At 38.6% G+C, this 24,733-nt stretch overlaps 2 annotated features.

Moving 5' to 3' along the window:
- Window positions 17,264-18,256: an enhancer, noted in NCBI's record as "H3K27ac hESC enhancer chr6:84954417-84955409 (GRCh37/hg19 assembly coordinates)". NCBI's record gives its function as "activates a minimal SCP1, AML or CMV promoter by ChIP-STARR-seq in naive H9 embryonic stem cells {active_cell/tissue: H9 hESC(naive)}" and the evidence as "EXISTENCE:reporter gene assay evidence [ECO:0000049][PMID:30033119]".
- Window positions 18,257-19,251: an enhancer, noted in NCBI's record as "NANOG-H3K27ac hESC enhancer chr6:84953422-84954416 (GRCh37/hg19 assembly coordinates)". NCBI's record gives its function as "activates a minimal SCP1, AML or CMV promoter by ChIP-STARR-seq in primed H9 embryonic stem cells {active_cell/tissue: H9 hESC(primed)}" and the evidence as "EXISTENCE:reporter gene assay evidence [ECO:0000049][PMID:30033119]".

Raw genomic sequence — 24,733 nt, 5'->3', positions numbered from 1 at the left:
CTCTACCAAACTCAGTCTGTGTCAATTCTCCAAATTTTCTACGAATATGAAACATGGGCTAAGTTAAACTGATTCAGTGAAAGCTAAAGAAAACACGCAAGGAGAGAATTTCAGTCTGGGATCAAAGATTTGCAGAAGAAAAATTTGGCAGTCTCTGGCAAAAATATCCTGGTACTTCTTGAAAATCTCAACAAGAAAAAAAAATGTTTTTCTAGTCACCACACCAAATGAAAGATTTGCATAGTATTTTACTCAAAAATAGCAATTTTCATCCTGCAGCCAGGATACTTTAAAAAGGAGAAAGCCCAATTGTACATACTACCAGGAAAATGATTCCAGGTGCAAGTAGCCCTCAAGATTTATATAAATCAGCTTTTAATTTATTTCCTTTAATCCATACGACTTTTCCTACCTTCTCAGTTGCCAGCCACATGTTTCTCGATAAAGATTGTGGTGGCACCAAACTTCCAAATTAGAGGCTGTGAGTGTGTTTCCTGAGTACCCAACATAAAAAGTAGTTGTTTCTAATAATCATTTTTCTGATGATATTTCTGTAGAGAAAAAAGTAAGTGTTTGTCGCCAAACTTTGGGGTTCTGCATGAAAACTGCTCAATGTGCGCAGAGTTATTAGAAAGCTGGATTTTCAAACTCTGTTGTTAATTTTCCTTAACAGTGTTTCAGACCACAGCAAGGAGCAGACCTGGATTGATAGGCAGCTATCTCATAATTGTAATGCATGGAGCACAGTGAGAAGGCAGCTGATTAAAATAAAAATCTAGTGCAATCTCAACATAAAAGCATTATTTGAAAAAAAAATTATAAGCATATTACCCAATGAGCAATATGCTTTTATTATCTACGTAATGAAGAAAAACAATATGGGTCTGTATAGATAACCACACGAAAAAGGTCTATAATTTAACAAGTTTTAGTGAACAAAACCCAAACTCAGCTGTTAACAATCAATCTTTTGATAGATAGAAATAAGCTTTTTATCTATCAGAGTTCTATTTTTACACCTGCCTGCTTGTACTTCTTTACATGCAAAAATGATTTTGTGCAATCAATGAAGCAAAAAAGATGGCTATACAAACACATAGAAAAATCTCTATTACAATTGTTTTAACTGATACCTACAAAAAAATTAAGTATGTAAAAGTACAACCAAATGAACACTATTAGCTCTTCCCTCCAGGAGGTATGAGTAAGAATTCATTAGATTGGAAAGGTAATATGTGAGGTTTTTTTTTTTGTAAAAAACAATGACATAAATTTTCCCTTTTAATATTAAGCACTAATTTAAAACATCCCCCCTTAACATAGCAAATATATTATACACCATCAGTTCCCACTGAAAATTCCAGAAAAAAAAGCCACTTTTTGCCTTTTTCTTGATGTTTTAGAGCCTTTGGAAAATAAGCAGCAGTCATTTCTCATTGTGCAATCTGTGATGATAATTTATTTTTTGGGATAGAACATCCATCTGAGCAACGTTTCACATACAATGTATGTGGTGCTCATGTCAACATCACACGGAACAAACATGGCTAATGGGCGGAGGTTAAATGATAGATAAATCATTTCATGAGCAACATATGTAAAACGCTCTATTCTTCATGTGTATTAGTGCCTTAGTATTATCTTTATCTTTGCTATAGCTTAGAGGAATTTTTTTCTTTCTTTTTAATATGATTCCCAGAATTTTCATGTCATATGTTTTGCCTTATTCAGCCATTTGGAGTACAGGTGTGCTATTGTGTTTTTGATGGAGTGTTGCCATTCCAGAAAGCTCCATTCAAAAACACAATGCCACACATGTAACCCAAACTCGAAGATGAGTCAACCATTGCATCTTTGCTCTGGTACTTAAGAGTACTGCTTACGTAACTCTACAGAATATAGAATTAGTAATCCACACAATAGTTAAAGAATAGTCTTGAACTTTAAAAGACTTCAAGCTTACCCTAGGAATATTCAAGGAAGAATTTTTTTAATTCTGTGTGCATCCTACTAGAGCTACAATTAACGTTGTCATATTGCAAAAGTCTTTCCTTGTAAATAAACCATCTTACTTGTGCCTTACTTTATATCACCTCTAAAGTGGGACCATTTCATAATACTGGTTAAATAATTTTTTTAGGTCAGAACAAGAAGCTTGAGAGAATTTCTTGCAATGGAAGTATTTCCTAAGTACTGGTCAAGATTCTATTGATCCTGACAAACATGATGAAATTCTTATTTCTTTGAATATGTTTCAGGTTTTTATCACATGAGGGAAATGACCGCTTTCAAAAAGCCTGCAACTACAAAGGGAATAGCCTGGTTTGTAATCTTAATCTGGGTATTATTTTCAAGACACATTTTAGAGAGTCTTTGAGGGCTCAGTCAGAGACGTGTTTATTTCTTAAATTGACAGAGTTAAGAAGTGATTAGCAAAAACGATGCTGAAAGAAAGGGAATAAATGGAATGACAGGTGTCATATCCTTTGTGCTCTCATTTAGAGCTTGCACAGCCAATTCCATGGCGGCAAATTTGGCACCATGTGGGTGGCTGCCTGACTTCAAATGCTCAGCTGCTCTGGCTCCCAGGGCACTGACAGACTGTCTCCTCCACTTCGGAATCTTCAGATGATGAGTCTCTGACCCTTTAAACAAAAAGCCTGAGCACCAGATGGCAATTTAAAAAGTGCTATCTAAAGGCTATGAAGACTTTATGAAGAGCATTTGTACTTCACTCTATTGCATGGGGTCAGTTTCTTTTATTGTTCTTGATGTTAGAAACCACCTTCCAGTCTGTATTCTTTAATAGAACAGCCACAGAGTAATCAAAGTTTAAAGCTAGGAGGAGCTTATAAACCATCCAGCCCAAACTCTTCAGAGGATCAAAATGATAACATGTGTGAATATCCTTTGTAAACTCAAAATCTCCCTAAAAGTAGTGTGTTTTATTTTGAAGATGGGGAAACCAATGACTAGAAAGTTATCATTTTTCTTTTTTTTTTCTTTTCCTTGAAAGTTATTATTTTTCTAATGTGCTTTGGGTTCATAGATAACTGCATAATCAATTTTAACACTTTCATGCAGTTTTATCTAGAACGTTCATGTAATGTTTAGAGTTAGCTCATGCCTTCCATGATTTCTACTTTGAGTGTATATTTTGAATAGGCACTCAAGACTTCTCAGTGAAAATAGTCTACTTTACAAGTAATACATGATACTTTAGACAGAGTTGCCAGCCACAGCCAGAACACTTCTGTGCAGAAGATCACAGAATCTGGCCTGATAGAAGTGGAAGTTAGCAGTGAATATTATATATTTCACAAGACAGACACATTTTGTCAATGTATTTTCTTTGGGTAACAGTGAGAGCATGATATAAAACATCGTGTAATATTTTAATACTAGAACTTTCCCAATGCCTTTGTCTAAGAGTATCTGTGATCCAAAATTCAGAAAGGTATAGATGCCTAGAGAGGAGCTATCGGATTTCTGTGTCTGACTCCAGGAATCTCTAAACTGACAGAACCACAGTGGCACTGAGATGCAAATACCGGGTCCCCTTCTCATATGCACCACACAGGGAGGCACAGGAAAGAGACAAAATCACCAAACCCAGTTGGTTTAGACTAGTTGCTCAATGCCATCATGTCAGGGACGCCAGGAAGTGTCTCTACCTCTACACTTTGGGCCCATCATTGGCTCTCTTTTGGGTTTGAAGGAGTGCACATGAAACAATTGTTCATTTACGGCTGGATGTCTCACAGCATTCACAACTGTCACAGAACTCGGAACTGCACATAAAAAACCCACTTACGCCACAGAGAACAGCTGAAAGAGGGCTGGCTGACAAGAGGGATCTGGGAGAGTCACGGGACCTGCTGGGGTGTTGGGTGAGCCCACCACACTGTCTCACTCCTCCTCTTCTTTGCCTGGAATGACTCCTAGCCCTCTGAACAATCTGTAGGATTCCCTGGCCCAAGCCCATTCCAGTTCCTACACTAAAACTCTCTCCAGCATCTGATACAGCACCTCTCAGCTGTTCATGACATGTTAAAGAAGAATCATGGTGTTGATAAGTGAAAAGAGAAGTTGAGAAACAGAAAAAAGAGGAAATTTAGCAGGGCTGATTTTACTTGTATCTAAAAAATAAATTAAATGCCTTACCGTAATTTGACTCTTTGTAGCTTTTCTGCAGTTTTAACCACGGACATTGGCACTATTAGGAGGAAATGGATAAGAGTTTGGAGTGATTTTTCAAGTTACCAAATGAATGTGAGATGTAAGGCAATTATCCCATTTTAAAAAGTGAAACTAAACTGCAGGGTATTTCAGTGACTTCTAATGCACAGGAGATGCCAGATGTCCACTATCTTGTATTTCAGTGCCCAGCCCCCTGTTATTTGTTTTCTTTTGCAGTGTGGCGATGCTGGGGATGCATAACGTCACTTATTCAAGCTCTGTGGAAAGCTATTGATGACAACTGTCAGCACATCAGCCACCCCCACTTTTCTGGTCAGACTCTGCCTGGCATTCACCAAGCTAAAATCTGGCAAACTGATTCCAGGAAACCAAGTGGCAGAAGTGGAACAGACTTTATTTCTTAACTCTACTTGGAGGCAGGACTTCTACCCACCCTCTTACTCCCATGATGCACTTCCATTTTAATAACTGAAGAAAAAGGCTGCATTAAATTATAACTTTGGTATCATATTTTGAAGTTTAAAACAAATATCCATTTTTATAACTTAAATGTTGTTCTCATTTACCTTCTAAGTTCATAAGAGGGATGAGAACTGGTTAATATTGAGCACAAACGTTACTAGAGAGTGACTATCTCTCTCAGTGTGGTGCTTAGGATAAACATACATTCACATACTGTTTATTATACTTCAAAAATTTTTTAAAAAGTTTAGCGTGGGGAAAATTTTTCTAGCTGTATTTAGAGAGTGACCTGAGATGTGGGAAAGTTGTCTATTGCTTATGTTATTTTTTTCACCCACTTTTGAATTCTTTGAGGCTCCATTTCCCCTGAGTTAAGCAGAGATTGCCACCCACCTTGGCTCTTCCTGCCTCTGCTCCAACAGAACCTCTTTGTTGTTTTATCTAATCAGATTCAGAGGCCCTGCTATGGTTGGCCCACTTGGATTTTTCAAGGAGGTTATATTTCTTATTTCCCAGGCTTCAGAGAACTAAAAATAGCTGGGTGAAAATCTGAAAGGCAAAACTGCTCTATCTGCCAGCATTATAAGGAGATAGGATCAGGTTTAACCAAAAGACAGTCTATTTCTGTTCTTCTGTGACAATTAAAGCAAATCATAATGACACCAGTTCAGTAGCTAGAGCCTCTGGTTGGTTTCATGTCCACATTTAACACATTTATTTTTTTCTTATTTTTTCATTAAAAATATCCATATTAACACCTACGCTTCCATGACTATCCTAAAAATAAAACTGCTCTTGAGTCATGGTGGCTTTCACCTTTGTGTGTCTAATAATTTTTTAATAGTAAATGTTTAAATGGCACCGATAGAACATGGTCTATCTGAATGTCCAATATCACCATTTGTCTACTTATAGCCACTTTCTATATTTTAGTCCTATGCTAATTGTTTTACCACTCAGTGTAGAATCTCATCCAGAAACTTGAATAATATGTGACCCTAAAACTCATTATGAAGGATTTGCTAATCAAGACAAACAGCCTTCTTTTCATGAAGCTTTGCTGGCAGAAACATCCACCTCCATGTTTCCTAAAGACAGATTATGCCCATGAAACATGGGTGAGGGAACATCTGTCAGACATGAAAGATAAAATATATCTGGCTTTGCTTTTTCACGTTTTATTTTTTAGAGCCATAAAAAATTAAGAGACTGAGTCAAGGGAAAAAGTTCAAAAAAGGAGTTTGTACATTAACTCTGCTGCTAGAGCATCAGAGGAGATATAGGATTTCAGCTCTGGACTTACAAATATGTGAAACTAGAGATTATGAAAATAAATATTTAGCCATATTCTTTAGTTGTCTTTTTGTAAAGGTTAACAGTTTCATACTGAATTAAAAGCAAACAAACAGTGGTGAATTAAGAACTTTGTTCAAACTGCTTTCTTTGTCGTGTTCACAGTGATAATCCCATTTTACAAAACTAAGCAATTGAAAAACAGGCAACTCTCCAGGATAATACTAAAAACACCACTGTTATTGGAAAGCATTTGCATGCAACACGGAAATTGTAATGATAAGTAAGTCAATTTAAGTATAAAATACAAATATAGATCGCTGAATTCAGTCATCAGGTTCACTAGACAAACTGCTTCATACACAGTATCTAAGCTAAGTTGCAATCAATAAATCAGAATAATAAAATTGACTTCTTATGTGGAAGGTGGGAGAGCAATGAGTAACACTGTCAGCACACAGGAACAGGAAGAGTATTGTTTCCACTGTATTTCGAGCTTCCCACACTGGACCACAAACTCACTGGAATAGATTTTGTGTTCTCTATGAGGAAAAATTTGTCCAATTCTGACCATTTTTAACCTCCACCAGGGGAAGGACCATCTCTATCCATAGTTCTCCTCCAGGACCTGTCAGTTGCTGGCACATAATAGGTGCTCACGAAATATTTACTGAATAAATGAATGAAAGAATGAATGTATAAACAGCCTGAGTAGAGATGATCTCATTTCCAGTGATATTTTAAGTGAGAAATATCAGAAAAATGCAAAATGTTTGTGAGCATTGATAACATTTTACTTTCCCTCTCACTCTGAAATACTTTTCCAATCTAAAACTTTGCAAACAATGAAATAGAAATTTTAAGCCTTTATGTGCAAAACTGAAACCTTCTGTTACTAAATAGTTATTCCAGGCAAAGCTTTGTTTAAGAGAAAGCAAGGATGAATGGATTAGCAAGGAGGAGGAAATCTCTTTGAGGAACATTCTGTGTCTGATATAAAGTGGGATAAAGAGAAGAGCATATGGTACAAATAGGCCACAAGCAACTGACAACATTTTTAAAAATGAAAATGATCAACATCTCCATTATTTTTGCCTTATTCAATAGCTCTAGTGCTTATTTTCATTCCAATAGCTTGTTTTGCTGAAAAATGCTTATAAAGCATAAAAGTTGGTTGCAGCCATGCTAGGTGTTTGGGAACAAAAGGCACAAATGCTTTTGCAAATATTCCCCTAGGTCTGCTCTTGCTGACAGATTGATAGTTGGGAATATTTTGAAAATATTTTATTCAGTTTAAGTCATTTTTAAGTGGGATCTTGCACACACAAAAAAGTTGTTAATGTTTTATCTCCATAATAAACAGAAGTGTTACTCAAACATATTAAATGATTTCACATATTCAAAATCTTTCTCTTCTGTGTATCTACACATACTCATATTTCTGCTGAAATGCACATGTACACATTTACAGAAGGAGTAGATTTTGAATGTAAAAGACAAAGTCACTTCAGAAAGCATATGCTGAGTAGACTCATTTCAAATATTTAGGAAAATGATCAGATCCATTTTCTTAATTATTTGCCAAGAATACTTAGCAACAATTACTAGTGCCAAGTACATTAGGGACACCATCTTATATCTTATCAATCCTGATAGATAAGTATTATTGTTATTCCCATATTACTGATAAAGAAATTGATGCTTCAAGAGGTGAAGTAACTTAAAATCCAAGCCACTCCACTATAAATAACGTAAGATTTTGACCTTGTTCTGGTTACAAGACGTTGTTCTTTCCGCTACGGCCAGTGGTCTTTAAGCTGTATTCCATGTGTATCAGGGCACTTTTGGCTGGATACTGATAGTTTGGATATCCCCTGCATCCACTCCCTCCCTATATACACATAGACTCATGCATACACATACCCACATAGCACACTTTTACAAACATATAGGTTTGACTCCACTTATTTGCTTTTGTTTTATATCAGTGTGAGGGCCAGTAAAATAAAGTATAGAGGGAAGGGGTAGTATGATATCCTTTCCCATGTGGATCTGTAGACTGGATTTATTTAAAGGGCAATGACCATAGGCAGATGGAAATGTTCAAATGTATTTTGGGCTGTACAGAAAAGTATGTAAGAGCATGGGAGAGAAAGCCCTAATGCCCATCTGTGTTGGGCACTCAGATGTTCTGGTATCCCTTATTAGGGAACTTTTAAAGTACCCTGAGATAGCACCTTTGCTGTGGACAGTGGAGTTTTCATTTTGGACATTGACAGCTGTGTACCTCCTTCATATGGCTTTGCAGTCAGCTACCAGAGATAAACCAAAGCCAGGGCAGGGCAGCAGATGAGGAACAAGGCAGTCCCATTTGTGAGCACAGGTAAGGAACTGGGGGACACTTTGGAGGGAGGCTGTGTATATTCACTAGATAGATAGATAGATAGATAGATAGATAGATAGATAGATAGACATGTATATTACACCTGGACACTTAGGATTCTCAGGAGGGTATTTTGATAACTGAGTGGGAGGCTTAGGAGTTATTCTCTGAACCTTCATGCCTGTTTCACTCAGATCCCCTCTAAATTCAAATGTTTTATAATTTGGGGATCCATGCAACATGTCATTTGAAGAAAATATTCTGTGGCCTGAAAAGTGAAACTTAGAAAACTAAACAATAGTACCTCTTTTTCCCCAATTCAAATTGAGTTTGAATACCCTTTAACAAGTTATCCAAAAAAAAAAAAAACTAGTAATGGATGAAAGAAGTTTTAGAGTAGCTTTAAGAGTGGTTGCTGTTGATAAATCTGGAGGATTTTTTTTTAGGAAGCCATTTATCTATCTACAATTCTCAAAGGTATCTCATCCACTCAGACTGCCTAAGAGGCACTCCATACCATTTCATCCCTCACTTCTCTGCTCAAATTCAGCTGTGTGTATGTACCTGCCTAGTGGACATATTCAACAGCACCTTAAATTCAGTAACTCAATGTATCCAAAACCTCTTTAGCTTACTTGGTCAACAGCTCCAACACCCATCCGTTTATTCATCCAAGCTAGAAACTTCAAAGCTATCATCAATTTCTCCCTCTACCCCAGCTCCTAGGTTACCCAGATCAATTCATTTTGCTTCTGGACAATCTCTCAAATCTTTTTCTCTCTCTCTTCCTCGTGGCCCGTTTCTTTTAAAGCCCTTGTTTTCTTTTGCCTGACCACCACAATAGTCTCCTATCTGAACTCCTTGTCATCTTTCTCTCCTCCTTACCAATCTCTACACAGATAACAGAATTTTTAACGCAATATGATTATATCATCTCTCTCTTTGGAATCCTTCAGTCAAAAAAATATTAGGCATGGCATATACTACTTTTCACATTCTACCTTAACCTTTCCAGCTCAAACATGAACATTGACCTAGATATGACTGTCAGTAGCAAGAAGTGTGGCTGAAAAGGCAGAAATAAATTTATGATAGGGTATACTGAGTAGTTCACAGAAATCTTTCAAAGGTTGGAAAACTGAACTCAGAAAAGGCAGAAAGAAAGAAAAGCAGCCGGGTGCAGTGACTCACGCCTCTAATCCCAGCACTTTGGGAGGCCAAGGTGGGTGGATCACAAGGTCAGGAGTTCAAGACTTGCCTGGCCAAAATGGTGAAACCCTGTCTCCTCCAAAAATACAAAAATTAGCTGGGTGCGGTGCCAGGTGCCTATAATCCCAGCTACTCGGGAAGCTGAGGCAGAGAATTGCTGGAACCCGGGAGGTGGAGTTTGTGGTGAGCCGAGATCACACCACTGCACTCCAGCTTGGACGACAGAGCAAGACTTCATCTCAAGAAAAAAAAAAAGAAAGAAGAAAGAAAGAAAGAAAGAAAGAAATAAAGAAAGAAAGAAAGAAAAAAAGAAAAGCTAGGCAGAAGAACGACAGCCAATAGCCAACTACAGAACCAAGCTAGTTAAATCTACCATCACTGTCACTGTACAATAATGGTCCTATGCTTTAATACCACCACTGTTCTGTCTTGACACTGTCTCTGGATGCTAGAGATGACAGTGGTCCTACAGCTGTTACTCTCCCTGGAAATTGCAATCTCAGTGATGCAGTGAACACCGGAAGAATTCGCCACTCAATATTTTTTCTACTTCCCTTTCCCCATCAAACTGACCCAGCTGAAGTTAGAGGTCCACTTCCAGCCCAGAAATGGGGAGGTGATAGGGGCTGAAAAAACAAAAGGTGGACCTTTTAGCTTCATAAAGAGAGGCCGTAATAAAAAGTGAAAGTAGATGCTGGACACCATAAAGCAATAGGAGTGTGGTCTATGCTTCAGCTATTCAGGCTATGCAAGATGCTCCAAAGAGGAGCATGCTGTGTTTGCCTCTTCAAACACATTGTTTTCTACATTTGAAAAGATCTTCATTATTTTCTAATAAGGGGGCATCTATCTTTCCCTGGTCTAATGCCACCTGGCTGGCACCTCTAGGCAGAACTGGTGCCTCTTTGGTTTGTTTGTTTGTTTTGTGTAGTCATAACAGTTTATTGTAGCATTTCTCACAGTGTGTTGCGGTTATTATTGTGTCATTTCACAATTCTGTTTCCCATCTCAACAGTAAGTTTCTCTTGGCAGGGACTATGTCTTTTATCTCTGTGCCTTCAGAGTCAAGCATTGTGCCAGGGACAAAATGTGTCTCCAATAAAGTTTGTTGAATAATTTTTGTGGCTCCCCTTGGAAGAATGTGTTAAAGTCTATGGGAGACTCCTAGAAGACACTGGCCTCAACTGTCATTAGCAGAAGCACCTTCCTTCTCTTGCCCAGTGACAGGAACAGATACTCCCAGAACTTCACAAGACAATTGCAAACTGGAAGACATTCCTGGCGTGAACATTGGCCATCAGGCTTATAGTCAGCACCTCCCAACTCCATTCTCAGTTCTAACCTGCATTATGATGTGACCTTTAGCATTCTGCTAAGGTTACGTCTATACCAAGGCTTATGTGCAGTTGTTTTACTGCCTGAACTAGTTATGAACTGGGTACTGTAGCAATCTTGTGAAAAGTTTTCCATTATTTCACAGGTGACGGTTAAAGCAATTTCAAGAGTATTTAAATTCTATAGAATAGTACTCATACACACAAAATCAACATTGTCCTCTTTGTGCTATGAAGACAGTAAAGAGCCCATTGTCTCTACATAGCTTTCACAGATTGCAAATGAGACAAAATTCTTGAAACTCTTTAAAATAATGTTGGACAATATGTCAGTATAACAATATAAAGATAGGATTATCTTCAGCGTGTATTATAGATATTACAATCTAAAGATAATAAATTACATGTCAAGATTGAATTTTTTATCAATAATAGAAGATAACATACAATATACATTACTAACATTAACTAGAAGTCACAGCATTTGTGAATAATGTTCATTGGTTTTAGAGATTTTTAAAGCAATATGATTCTTCAACAAACACGATTATCATTGTCATCTAGATGCCCCTGGAGACACATAGAGCTATTATTCCTTTGACATGAGAGATAGTGGACACGGCAATTATTCTGCCAACATGAGCCAAACTTGCTAAAAGGAAATTAAACTGAAATAGGTAACTTTGGAAAGGTAAATGACACAATAGTTGAAACGGTAAAATTGTGTGAGGAATAATTATACATAAATTCAAGGGAAAATGTCATTGTTCTATTCATGTAAGAGTTGGTGATATATTGTTTTTACACACACTTAAACTCACTGTTTCATTCTCCAAGTTACAGTTTTCATCAGTGTTCCTGGGACTCTTTGGAACTCCAGGAGTTCTCAGAAATTTATTTTGATAAAATTTTTTAATTTGGACTTTTGAAAAACTTTAAATTCCATCTAGTCTTGTTTGGGTTCTGTCATAACATGTTCTGCTAGCTCGTATGTGAACAGTATTTTTATGAAACTATTAAAATGTATTATTGTCTTGAGTACATTGATGATTAACTCCTTTCCCCACTTCTTTCTTTAAATTGCATTCTCATTCTCACCGTGGGTCCTTGCATTTGGTTCAGTACACCCAAAAATCTAATAATATATGTTTCCAGCTTTAGGAACAAGATTTGGATTCAGTTAATAAATAACAAAGAAAAGAAGAAATATGTTACAAGTCTCAATCTGCATCTCTGACATTCCTATTTTGATATTTATTTTATTATTAGAGCATTATTATTTTAGACCTCTTTCACAACATAAAATCTTTATTACAAACATAAAATAACTTCCTTTGTTTTCACTTAAACTATAAATATTCTTGTAAGTTTACTTATTATTCCATATTCTGAATTTTTTAAATAGAAAACTCTCACATAAGAACTATTCTTAGGGTAGACATAAACATGTAAAATGCAATTATGTTGACAATAACTTCTCAGAAAATTAAAGATTTTATTGCTTTTTTCTGATTATAAATGAATTTTAAAACAGAAATAGAATATAAAACTTTTATCTTGAATAATTTATTTCTTCAAAAGTAAATCTCAAGAAAAAATAACAAATTGCAAGCAAGGATGGTGCAGACTTTGGTGTTTTATATATATTAGTCTTTTTACTTTTTTTTTCAAACTTCAGAAAAGACTACATGTTCAATAGAAATAACTAGAAAATATAATAAAGTGTAATATAAAGAAAATAAAATAAATCAAATTTGGTCCCCCCAATCCATCTTTGATGTATATCCTATGCATTTTTCTATGTGCTTATATATAAATATTTTATAAAATTTGAATTACAATTTTAAATCTGATCTTTGAAATTCTATCATATCCAAAGATTTCATCTGAAAAGACCAGGGAACTTTTCAAAAAAAGAAAAGAAAATAGCCTTTTGTTCTTGAAGAGTTGCCAGAACTAAAAACGTAAAACAAACTCAAATTAGCAGTATATTCTGGTTGTGTTATCCAGACCTTAAAAGGCTGTTGATCTGACCCAAGAGTATACAATTCTCTTCCAATGTTCAGATGCTACTGTTCTCAGTTGCCTGTTCCTAAATGGTTTCATTTCCTGTTAGTCCCTGCCAACACTGCCTCCCCACCCATGTGATTCGCCAGGCTGTGGCTGCACTGCAGGGAGGCCTGGGAGTTCTCAGACCTTTCAACTTAATCCTCCATGATGGTAGACATCTCTGGTTGCCTGTCTACCACATTCCCAGTATCAGAACAAATCCACTAGATGTTTTGGTTCAAACAAGTTATATTCATGATAGTGACGTTTCCAAGCTCTATAAAATAAGATTCACCTCCACAGTTAAGCCGCAGCTGAGACTACCTCATGAGAGCCCTTCATCTTAAATCAGCCTATGACCTCTTCTTAGATTTACACAAAAAAACATGTTTTTAAAACCCCAAGTTAAAGTTAGTAATGTTAATACATGACTTTATTTCTTCTTTATTGCTTGCAGTATCCCTATTATATATTTTTAAACAAAAGATTCAATTTCAACTAAAATTAGATGAAATTTATCTCCTTTAGAAGAGTATTAAGATTCAGAAACAACCTTAGGATATGGAGGTCAGATTCTCATGGGTTTTATTCTTGTTTTTTAAAAAAATAATACATACAGACACAAAGATAGAACAATAGACACCAGGTCCTACCTGAGGGTAAGAGAGTGGAGGGTGGGAGGAAGGTGAGGGTCAAAAAACTACTTATTGAGTACCATGCTTATTACCTGGGTAACAAAATAGTCTGTACACCAAGCACCCACAATATGTGATTCACCTATACAACAAACCTGCACATGTACCCCCAAAACTAAAAGTGTTTAAAAAAAAAGAAAGAAAGAAAGAAAGAAGGAAAGAAAGAAAGAAAGAAAGAAAGAAAGAAAGAAAAGAAAGAAAGAAAGAAAGAAAGAGAAAGAAAGAAAGAAAGAAAGAAAGAAAGAAAGAAAGAAAGAAAGAAAGAAAGAAAGAAAAAGAAAGAAACAAAGAAAGGAAGAAAAATAAATCATTAACATCTCTCTTCCTTGCAGGAAGAAGAAGAGAGGAGCATAAACCTACATCTTTACCTATATATTGCAAATAGCTTTCAGAGTAGGCAAAAAGTCTAAATGTGTTTTTTGCATAAGAGGAAGGAAATGAAACTGCTAAAGAAAGTCATTTTTAAGGTTATATTAACTTATGAGAAAAATGTGGTAAAAATAGCAAGGCTTCCTCCAGCTTCCCAAAGACAGAAGGACAGGTCCCTAACCCAAAGGTCATCACCAATGCTCATTCTCTCTCTGAGGAACCCTATTCTGCAGCAGTAGGCAATTAGTCAAGATATTTTATTCATTCCAAGCCCTTCAGAATGGAGAGCCAAAATGAAAGAATGTTCCCATTAAGGCAATATTTATCCAAATTAAAAGAATTAACTTATTCATCAATTTACTAGACCCTGGGAGGCAAGAAAACATACAGGTGAACTCTGAGTAACTGTTGAGCTGGTGGAGGAGATGCCACAGCTTCCCACATCTCTCACTGTACTACCTTAGACATTTGTCATCATTGCTATCATTGAAATTAGATAGAGCAATAGAAGATCACCTTATATCTATTGGAATTGGACTCCTGCCTGGAAATAATGTGCTTGCTCCTGCTCGGACCAAAGAACAATTTCTCTAACCTAATACATTCAGGTAGGTTAGAAGGTGGCAGTGGGGATTGAGAGGGAGAGAAGCATCACCCCATACACATGACATTCATTCAAGATGTGTTAAACATTCAAGATGTCTTAAGTTTTGACTTAAATCATTAGATAATAAATTGGACCAATAGGCAATAGAGCCAATAGTTTTGACAACCACACATTGGTATAATACAAAAATTAATAACACTACACCCAACCTGAAAGACTTTATGATTGGGTAAGAAAAAGAGAAAGAGCATACATTAAATAAATAAATATATAAAATTTTAAAAGAAAAACTAAGAAAAACTGTTGTTTCCAACTTAAAATATTAGGTCACTGAAGACTTGGGTGTGAGCATAAAATAAACCTGAATTGGATGGTTCTTTTGCTCCTTCTGAAGTTTTTGTAAAGTTGAATAGGTTTCTTTAATAAGGCAGTAGTGTTACAGAACTAATGCTACTCTCAATATTCTTATTATTACATGTGGAATAATGCAGGTGGTGGATTATTCAGGATTTTCTTTCCTTTGGCTTTCACCCTTAGAAGCAGTCCCTTGCTCATTAAAACCTCCTGCAGAGGGCAAACAAGGGAGGGGATGGGGCTGAAATTCATTTTGGAACTTGTTGGAAGCATTGGTGAAAGGTTTGGTAGAATTGTAGAAACAGTCTCTTTATATTTTCTTTTTCTTTCAAAGAAACTTTGTTTTTCATCAGTGAGATTTATATGGTGACTAGAAAATGTATGTGTGTTTTGACTTTCTGGATAAAGGAGTTCTTCAAAGAAAGACTTTATGAAAAAATTAAAATTTTCTCCCATTTCATATCAAATATTAATTTATATTTTTCCTGTTAAGATTGATACATAACTAAAAACAAAAAATTGAGTGAAATCATTTTCAACACACAGAACACTTTTTTTTGCACAAGTAGCAAGTTTTGCATAGGTAGTGAATCTATTTTCATGTCTAAATGCTATGTTTTATGTTAAAATTGATGAACCCCAAATACACTAATGAATCAAGCAAGACTGAACAACAAAAGTACAAAACTATTTTTAATACCTAAACAATTAATTTAGAATAGTTACTAGAATCCATAAAGGAGCATTAATTAAAATAACAAAGTCTCTGGTGAAAATTTCTCAAACTCCAGATCCTGATAGGTGCTCATCCAACTTCTTGCCAACCCCGCCTCTTTACCATGGTCCCTGCAGGTAAAGGGAATGCTATCAGATAGCAGCAGGCTGCACCTAGTAGCCTCATGGAGGCTTCTTAAACGTGAGAGCCACAGGAAGATTAGAGAGTAAACCAAGAAAGATAGAACTGACTCAAAAAAGAAGACAGAACTGAGGGGAGGGACAATTGCATGGACTTTTGTGAAGACTAGGGTTTGGCTGTTTAAACAAATAGTCCATAAAAATAGATTCCTCTACTTAGTCATGGAGTTATGTTTTTATTATTTTTAAGACTTTCTGATAGTTTTGATAACCCTTTCCCGGGGCACTACGAGACAAATGAAAAACATCTTTCTATACTCTATGCTGGAAGAAAAGTACACATAATAATGGCCATAATAATAATAGGTATCAAATCATTGTTTGCTACGTATGCCATAGGATGTGCTTCACAAAGAACAATATAAGAACAGCTAACGTGTATTAAGCATTATTATGTACAAGGCACCATTCAATATTTAGCTCTCACAATGCTATGGTATAATGTAAAAGCTATTGTTGTACCTATTGAATGAATGAGGAATTTGGGATGGATGGTGCCACATTTCAGTATAAACTCGTTGTATAAATCAAATATAATTTCTCTAAACCAGGCCTCAGCCCTGCAGGGGTTCCTTTTGCCCACTGGTGGCTCCTTTGGCTGGCCAGACCCAGTGTCGTCAAGAGGCAGCAGAGGCAGACCACAAATGCTGGTAACGTTGCACTCCAACTTTAGTGGAGAGGATTTTGATTGTTTAATGTCAACTCATGGGTCACAGTATTTTTTATCCCTGTTTCTTTTAATTATGGCAAAATACATATAGAATAACATAAAATTTACCATCTTAATCATTTAAGTATACAGTTACTAATGTTAAGTACATTCACATTGCTGTGCAACAAATCTCCAGAAATCTTGCAAAACTGAAACTCTACACTCATTAAATAATAACTCCCCATTCTCTCCTATCCCCAGCCCCTGGCAAACACTATTTTACTTTCTGTCTCTATAAATTTGACTACTCTTGGTACCTCATATAAGTGCAATCAGTTAATATTAGTCTTTTTCTGACTCACTCATTTCATGTGCTACAGTATTTTTCAAAACATAGACTATGTTAATGCAAAACATCAACTTTTGCTAATGCAAAACATCATTTTATAAGGAGGTTTTAAATATATACAGAAAGGAGCAATGGCAACTGATGACTTTGTGTTTCTAAAACCCAAATGTAAATTATTTTAACTTACTGGTTTTTTGCAGGTCTAATAATTTATCTAGAGCAAAAGAAGTTTTAAATCAATACATGCTACCTATGACTTAGCCAAAATACATATTAATAGTAGATATTTTAAATGTAGTTTATTATTATTGATAAGATAACAGATACATTTTGCATCATCAGGCTCTCAGATGTAAATTTATGAAGTCCACGCTATGTCACTAACAAATATATTGCAAGGCACTTCTACGTTTTCATTTAACTTAGTTTCTTTCCTTTTTTAAAAAATAGAATACTTGCCCTCTCCCTCTCCCTGTCCCTGTCCCTGTCCCTCTTTCCACGGTCTCCCTCTGAACTGTCCTGCTGCCATCTCGGCTCACTGCAACCTCCCTGCCTGATTCTCCTGCCTCAGCCTGCCGAGTGCCTGCGATTGCAGGCGCGCGCCGCCACGCCTGACGGGTTTTCGTATTTTTTTGGTGGAGACGGGGTTTCGCTGTGTTGGCCGGGCTGGTCTCCAGCTCCTAACCGCGAGTGATCCGCCAGCCTCGGCCTCCCGAGGTGCCGGGATTGCAGACGGAGTCTCGTTAACTCAGTGCTCAATGGTGCCCAGGCTGGAGTGCAGTGGCGTGATCTCGGCTACAACCTCCACCTCCCAGCCGCCTGCCTTGGCCCCCCAAAGTGCCGAGATTGCAGCCTCTGCCCGGCCGCTACCCCGTCTGGGAAGTGAGGTGCGTCTCTGTCTGGCCGCCCATCGTCTGGGATGTGAGGAGCCCCTCTGCCTGGCTGCCCAGTCTGGAAAGTGAGGAGCGTCTCTGCCCGGCCGCCATCCCACCTAGGAAGTGAGGAGCGTCTCTGCCCAGCCGCCCATCGTCTGAGATGTGGGGAGCGCCTCTGCCCCGCCGCCCCGTCTGGGAGGTGAGGAGCGTCTCTGCCCGGCTGCCCCGTCTGAGAAGTGAGGAGACCCTCCGCCTGGCAACCGCCCCATCTGAGAAGTGAGGAGCCCCTCCGCCCAGCTGCCACCCCGTCTGGGAACTGAGGAGCGTCTCCGCCCGGCAGCCACCCCGTCCGGAAGGGAGGTGGGGGGTCAGCCCCCCACCCGGCCAGCCACCCCGTCAGGGAGGTGAGGGGCGCCTCTGCCCGGCCGCCCCTACTGGGAAGTGAGGAGCCCCTCTGCCCCGCCAGCTGCCCCGTCCGGGAGGGAGGGGGGGGAGTCAGCCCCCGGCCGGCCAGCCGCCCCGTCTGGGAGGGAGGTGGGGGGGTCAGCCCCCCGCCAGGCGAGACGCCCCATCCGGGAGGGAGGTGGGGGGTCAGCCCCCTGCCCGGCCAGCCGCCCCGTCCGGGAGGTGAGTGGCGCCTCTGCCCGGCCACCCTTACTGGGAAGTGAGGAGCCCCTCTGCCCGGCCAGCCGCCCCATCCGGGAGGGAGGTGGGGGAGTCAGCCCCCCGCCCGGCCAGCCGCCCCGTCCGGGAGGGAGGTGGGGGGGTCAGCCCCCCGCCCGGCCAGCCACCCCGTCCAGGAGGGAGGTGGGAGGGTCAGCCCCCCGCCGGCCAGCCGCCCCGTCCGGGAGGTGAGGGGCGCCTCTGCCCGGCCGCCCCTACTGGGAACTGAGGAGCCCCTCTGCCCGGCCACCACCCCGTCTGGGAGGTGTACCCAACAGCTCATTGAGAAGGGGCCATGATGACATTGGCGGTTTTGTGGAATAGAAAAGGGGGAAAGGTGGGGAAAAGATTGAGAAATCGGATGGTTGCTGTGTCTGTGTAGAAAGAAGTAGACATGGGAGACTTTTCATTTTGTTCTGTACTAAGAAAAATTCTTCTGCCTTGGGATCCTGTTGATCTATGACCTTACCCCCAACCCTGTGCTCTCTGAAACATGTGCTGTGTCCACTCAGGGTTAAATGGATTAAGGGCGGTGCAAGATGTGCTTTGTTAAACAGATGCTTGAAGGCAGCATGCTCGTTAAGAGTCATCACCATTCCCTAATCTCAAGTACCCAGGGACACACACACTCTGCCTAGGAAAACCAGAGACCTTTGTTCACTTGTTTATCTGCTGACCTTCCCTCCACTATTGTCCTATGACCCTGCCAAATCCCCCTCTGCGAGAAACACCCAGAATGATCAATAAAAAAAAAATAAATTAAAAAAAAAATAGAATACTTTTATCAATTATAGACCCCACAAACCCAACTGAAATTAAATGTTATATTTATATTTGAAAGACAAGTAGTCAACAATACTTTGCACTTTAAAATTGCTCTTAAAATATAAATTGAGAGCACTAAAGTCAATAATTAGCCGGATGTCCTTGGAATCCACCAGATAATTTTATTCTTAAAAATTATTTTTCTTAATTTATAAATGGCATTAAGTAGATTGTGACTTCTTTTTTAAAAAGGCCTTGTAAGAATAAGTTTCAGTTTAAATTTCAAACTTAAATTTATTTTCAACAAAGCTCACATTTTCTGCTCTAAACTGTCCTTTCATGACCTCTGATGGTGAAAATGTAAACTGACATTACAAATACTATCAGAAATAATGCCACAAATTCCATTTACCTTATTATTGAAGAACTTTCTCCTTTTCATATTTATTTACCTTGAGAACATAATAGCATCAATTATTCAACAATATGGAAGTAATGTTGGACAATTTCATACTACTCCAAAGTGTTTTTTTAAAAGCCCTCTTATTCACAGCTTGTAAGTCTCTGATAATGTGTGCAATTTACATAGTAGAATGAACATTTTAGTGATATAGCAGCTTACTATGACTACCTGCTCTCAAATGTAAATTGAATAAATAATAGAGTTTAGATAAGTTGAAACAAATATTTTAATTTACAAAATCATTACTCTTCCTAAGTCTCGGTAGTTATGAGTAAGAAAGCAGACTTGCATATTAAAACCTCAATTCTTTATATTATTTTATTGTTTCAACTTAGTTAATAAGATTGTTCTCTAGGCCTGAGTTTCTTCCAAAAAGGCTTGCTCACAAGGAATTTATCTGGGAACATGGACCCGGAGAGCAGCTCTATGATTGGGGGAATAAAAACAGGGAAAATGAGAAAGCTGAAACAAGAATTCATTGTCAAATGACTGCAGCTATGGCTAACCTGTGCTGGATTCAAAGATCTTTTGAGAAGCCCTAATTAAATGCATGAAGAAAAGAGTATCATTTCTCCATGGGCTTCCACTCTCCATGAGTGAAGGTGGCTCCTGGGACTTTGACTACCACATAACCACTTGCAACTTGTGTATGTGTGGCATTTCAATGAACATTTCACACTTCAATGTCAGAAAAGTTCCAAGGAAGGGAGAAGCTCAGACCTTGGCTAAAAGTGAGGCAGTCTTCAGCTGCACCTGCAGGAAGCTGGTCAAAGTCTACAAGAATTGGTTGTTGAAACAAGGACTGCAGTAAGATATGGCACCAAGAAGATTTGAAGTGATGCTCACAGTGTTATCTGATGCAGTAGATCCTTTGCACTACTCAAATCTATCTTTTCACTTCCTTAAGTTCAATCTATCTCAGAGTCCCCTTTAAGGAGCTGGCCAGCCACAATCTCTGCAGGAGGGTTTCTGGAACTAGCTACAACCCCTGCTACAGCTGGTCCCCAGACTTTATTGAAAGGCATCATCTCTGTCTTCCATTACCAATGCTAGATTTCTCTTGCCCTTGGCCATCATCTCATCTGATTTAAGGTTTCTTGCCTGGCAGAGTAACCCAGACCTTTTTCTCAAGGCTTGCTTTTCCTTTATCACATCATAGATGCCATAACCACCCACTCACCATTATTACCTGGCATGAAAACACCAGCAGATGCATCAGTCAAGTCACTGGATAGTCCTCTCTGCCTCCAGTTACAATGGCTCTTTACATATGTAAGGATAGACTAGACTTTCAACTATATTAATTTTCTTTCGCCTGCTGATCCAGGAATGAGGAGTCCAATCACTGGAATGAAGAGCCCAAAGAGATAGTCAGCAAGAGATAGTCCATTTCTGTGGCACTCTTACCTGGCAGAAGTGCTCTGCCTCCTGGGAACCAGGACCTCTAATCCAGCAAAGCCTAAGATTTCAAACCTTACAAATAAGTCACCTGGGAGTAATGGTGAAAGAGACAAATTGTACTTCCAACCCTTGGTTCTTGAATCCATGTATTCTAGCTTAAAGGACACAGCACCATATATCAGCCACTGATATAATACATACATGTATCTCATCCTGTCCCAACCTGGAACTTCAGATGAGTCTTCCACAGGCTATTTTACCATAGATCATCAGCTTCCAGGTGATGAGGTATTTAGTAATCCCAGTGGATTCTATCATCATGCACCCATTGCTGAACCACCTTTGCCATAAAATGAGCTACTTGGGCAGAAACAATGTTGTGAGACATGCCATGTCAATAGGTAACACTTTCTGCAAGCCCTTAGTTGGTGGTGATGGTGGAGGCTTTACTGGCAGGGAGTGCAAATCCATTACTATAGTAGGTTTTAATTCCAGCAAGGATGAATTTTTGCCATCTCCATGGTGGAAAGGATCTAATAAAATTAATCTGATATGAAATGACTGGCTGGACTCTGACAATTTCATATTGAGGTTTCACCACCAGCCTCTACTACTGACAAGTTGGGCATTCAGCAGGGGGCAGTAGTTAGATCATCATTAGGGAGCTGTGCCCATTAATAGCCTCTTTTCCAGCTGTGGTGGCAAATTTGTTCACAAACCAAGTATCCAAGCAGTGAGATATGTAAAAGCGAAACAGAGTACAGCTCACACCCACAGAGAAACCTAACCTGTGTTATTTGTTGTCAAGTACCTCTTATTTAGAGTGCTCATTAGTGAGCATTAACATGAGGCATAGCAATGCTGTACTAGTCCATTTTCACGCTGCTGATAAAGACATACCCAAGACTGGGAAATTTTCAAAAGAAAAAGGTTTAATGGACTTACAGTTCCATGTGGCTGGGGAGGCCTCACAATCATGATGGAAAGTGAAAGGCGCATCTCACATGGTGGCAGGCAATAGAAGAGAGCTTGTGTAAGGAAACTCCTCTTTTTATAACCATCAGATCTCACAAAACTCATCCACCATCACGAAACTAGCACGGGAAAGACCTGCCCCATGATTCAACACCTCCCACCAGGTGCCCCCCACAACATGGCAGTTCAAAATGAGATTTGGGTGGGGACACAGCCAAACTATATCAAATGTGCATGCTATGTACCTACTTCCATAAATCCATCCATATGCCTCTTTCCCCAGATACACTTGTCTTTGATCTTTTGATCTTGTTTTTATCAAGGCCCCTGAACAAGAAGCAAAGCCATTTGTCACTACCCAGTAGTCTATGTATATGCTATAGATAATACCTCAGGCCATGTCTATCTCCATGTAAGTAACTGAAAATGTGCTCTGCTTAGAGCTCTTTGCACTGGTAGAATTTCTCTGTATTACATTTCTTTAGGGATACCTGTGAGTGTAGCAGTAGACTGACAACAGTCTATTTGTGGTTGGCATCAATAAATCACCCTTATTCATGTATGAACCAGGCCAGGGTATTTTCTCCTTCATTCGTTGGTCATAGGATATACCCATGAGGTAACAGGAAGAGGAATTCCTGTGTGAATCAGGAAGCAGCATAGTGTGAAAGGGGTAGTTATGGGAGTCTTGTTCATCCATTCAGGTAAAGTACATTACTTCTATGTTCTGTACCTGCTCAGGCCTTGTACCATTTCCACAACAGAGTGGATTTTCTGCTGTGCCTATTTGATGTTAGACTTGATAAAGTTGATAATTCTCAGTTCGATATGGCTCTAGTCACATAATCACTTTGCCATTTGATTTTTTCTTTTTTTTTCTTTTGGCTTTATATTTCTTTATTTCAGGAAAGTTTTCTTCTATTATACCCTTAAATGCTTTAAATATATATTTCTAAATTGTGATAAAAATACATAAAATTGCCATCTTATCCAGTTTTAAGTATACAGTTTAGTGCCACTAAGTACTTTTCATATTACATCTTTTACCACCATCCATTTCCAGAACCTTTTCATCTTCCCAGACTGAAACTTCATACCCATTTACCAATAATTCTGCATTCCTCCCTCCCCCAAGTCCCTGGCCACCACCATTCTACTTTTTGTCTCTATTAATTTGATGACTCTACGTACCCTATATAAGTGGAATCATATAATATTTATCTTTTTATGACTGATTTATTTAATGTAGCATAATATTTTCAAGGTTCATTCATGTTGTATGAATTTCCTTCCTTTTTTTCCACATTTTTAAAATTATACTGTAAGTTCTGGGATACATGTGCAGAATGTGCACATTTGTTACATAGGTATACACGTGCCATGGTGGTTTGCTGCACCCATGAACCTGTCATTTACATTAGGTATTTCTCCTAATGCTATCCCTCCCCTAGCGCCTAACCCCCAAAAGGAGCCAGTGTGGGATGTTCCCTTCCCTGTGCCCATGTGTTCTCATTATTCAACTCCCACTTATGAGTGAGAACATGTGGTGTTTGGTTTTCTGTTCCTGTGCTAGTTTGCTGAGAATGATGGTTTCCAGCTTCATCCATGTCCCTGCAAAGGACATGAACTCTTCCTTTTTTATGGCTGCCTAGTATTCCATGGTGTATATGTGCCACATTTTCTTTATCCAGTCTATCACTGATGGGCATTTGGGTTGGTTCCAAGTCTTTGCTATTGTGAATAGTGCCTCAATAAACATATGTGTGCATGTGTCTTTATAGTAGAATGATTTATAATCCTTTGGGTATATACCCAGTAATGGGAATGCCAGGTCAATGATATTTCTGGTTCTAGATCCTTTAGGAATCACCACACTGTCTTCCACAATGGTTGAACTAATTTACACTCCCACCAACAGTGTAAAAGCATTCCTATTTCTGAACATCCTCTCCAGCATCTGTTGTTTCCTGACTTTTTACTGATCACCATTCTAACTGGTGTGAGATGGTATCTCATTGTGGTTTTGATTTATATTTCTCTAATGACCAGTGATGATGAGCTTTTTTCATATATTTGTTGGCCGCATAAATGTCTTCTTTTGAGAAGTGTCTGTTCATATCTTTTGTCCGCTTTTTGATGGGGTTGTTTTTTCTTGTAAATTTAAGTTCTTTGTAGATTCTGGATATTAGCCCTTTGTCAGATGAGTAGGTTGTGAAAATTTTCTCCCATTCTGTAGGTTGCCTGTTCACTCTGATGATAGTTTCTTTTGCTGTGCAGAAGTTCTTTAATTAGATCCCATTTGTCAATTTTGGCTTTTGTTGCCATTGCTTTTGGTGTTTTAGTCATGAAGTCTTTGCCCATGCCTATGTCCTAAATGGTATTGCCTAGGTTTTCTTCTAGGGTTTTCATGGTTTTAGGTGTTACCTTTGAGTCTTTAAGCCATCTTGAGTTAATTTTTGTATAAGGTGTAAGGAAGGATCCAGTTTCAGTTTTCTGCATATGGCTAGCCAGTTTTCCCAGCACCATTTATTAAATAAGGAATCCTTTCCCCATCGCTTGATTTTGTCAGGTTTGTCAAAGATCAGATGGTTGTAGATGTGTAGCATTATTTCTGAGGCCTCTGTTCTGTTCCATTGGTCTATATATCTGTTTTGCTACCAGTACCGTGCTGTTTTGGTTACTGTAGCCTTGTAGTATAGTTTGAAGTCAGGTAGCGTGAT

The sequence above is a fragment of the Homo sapiens genome, chromosome 6 (assembly GCF_000001405.40).
Source record: "Homo sapiens chromosome 6, GRCh38.p14 Primary Assembly".
In the NCBI taxonomy this organism is placed as follows: domain Eukaryota; kingdom Metazoa; phylum Chordata; class Mammalia; order Primates; family Hominidae; genus Homo; species Homo sapiens.
The sequence above is the reverse complement of the archived record's forward strand: the minus strand, read 5'-3'. Positions and strand labels throughout refer to the sequence as shown.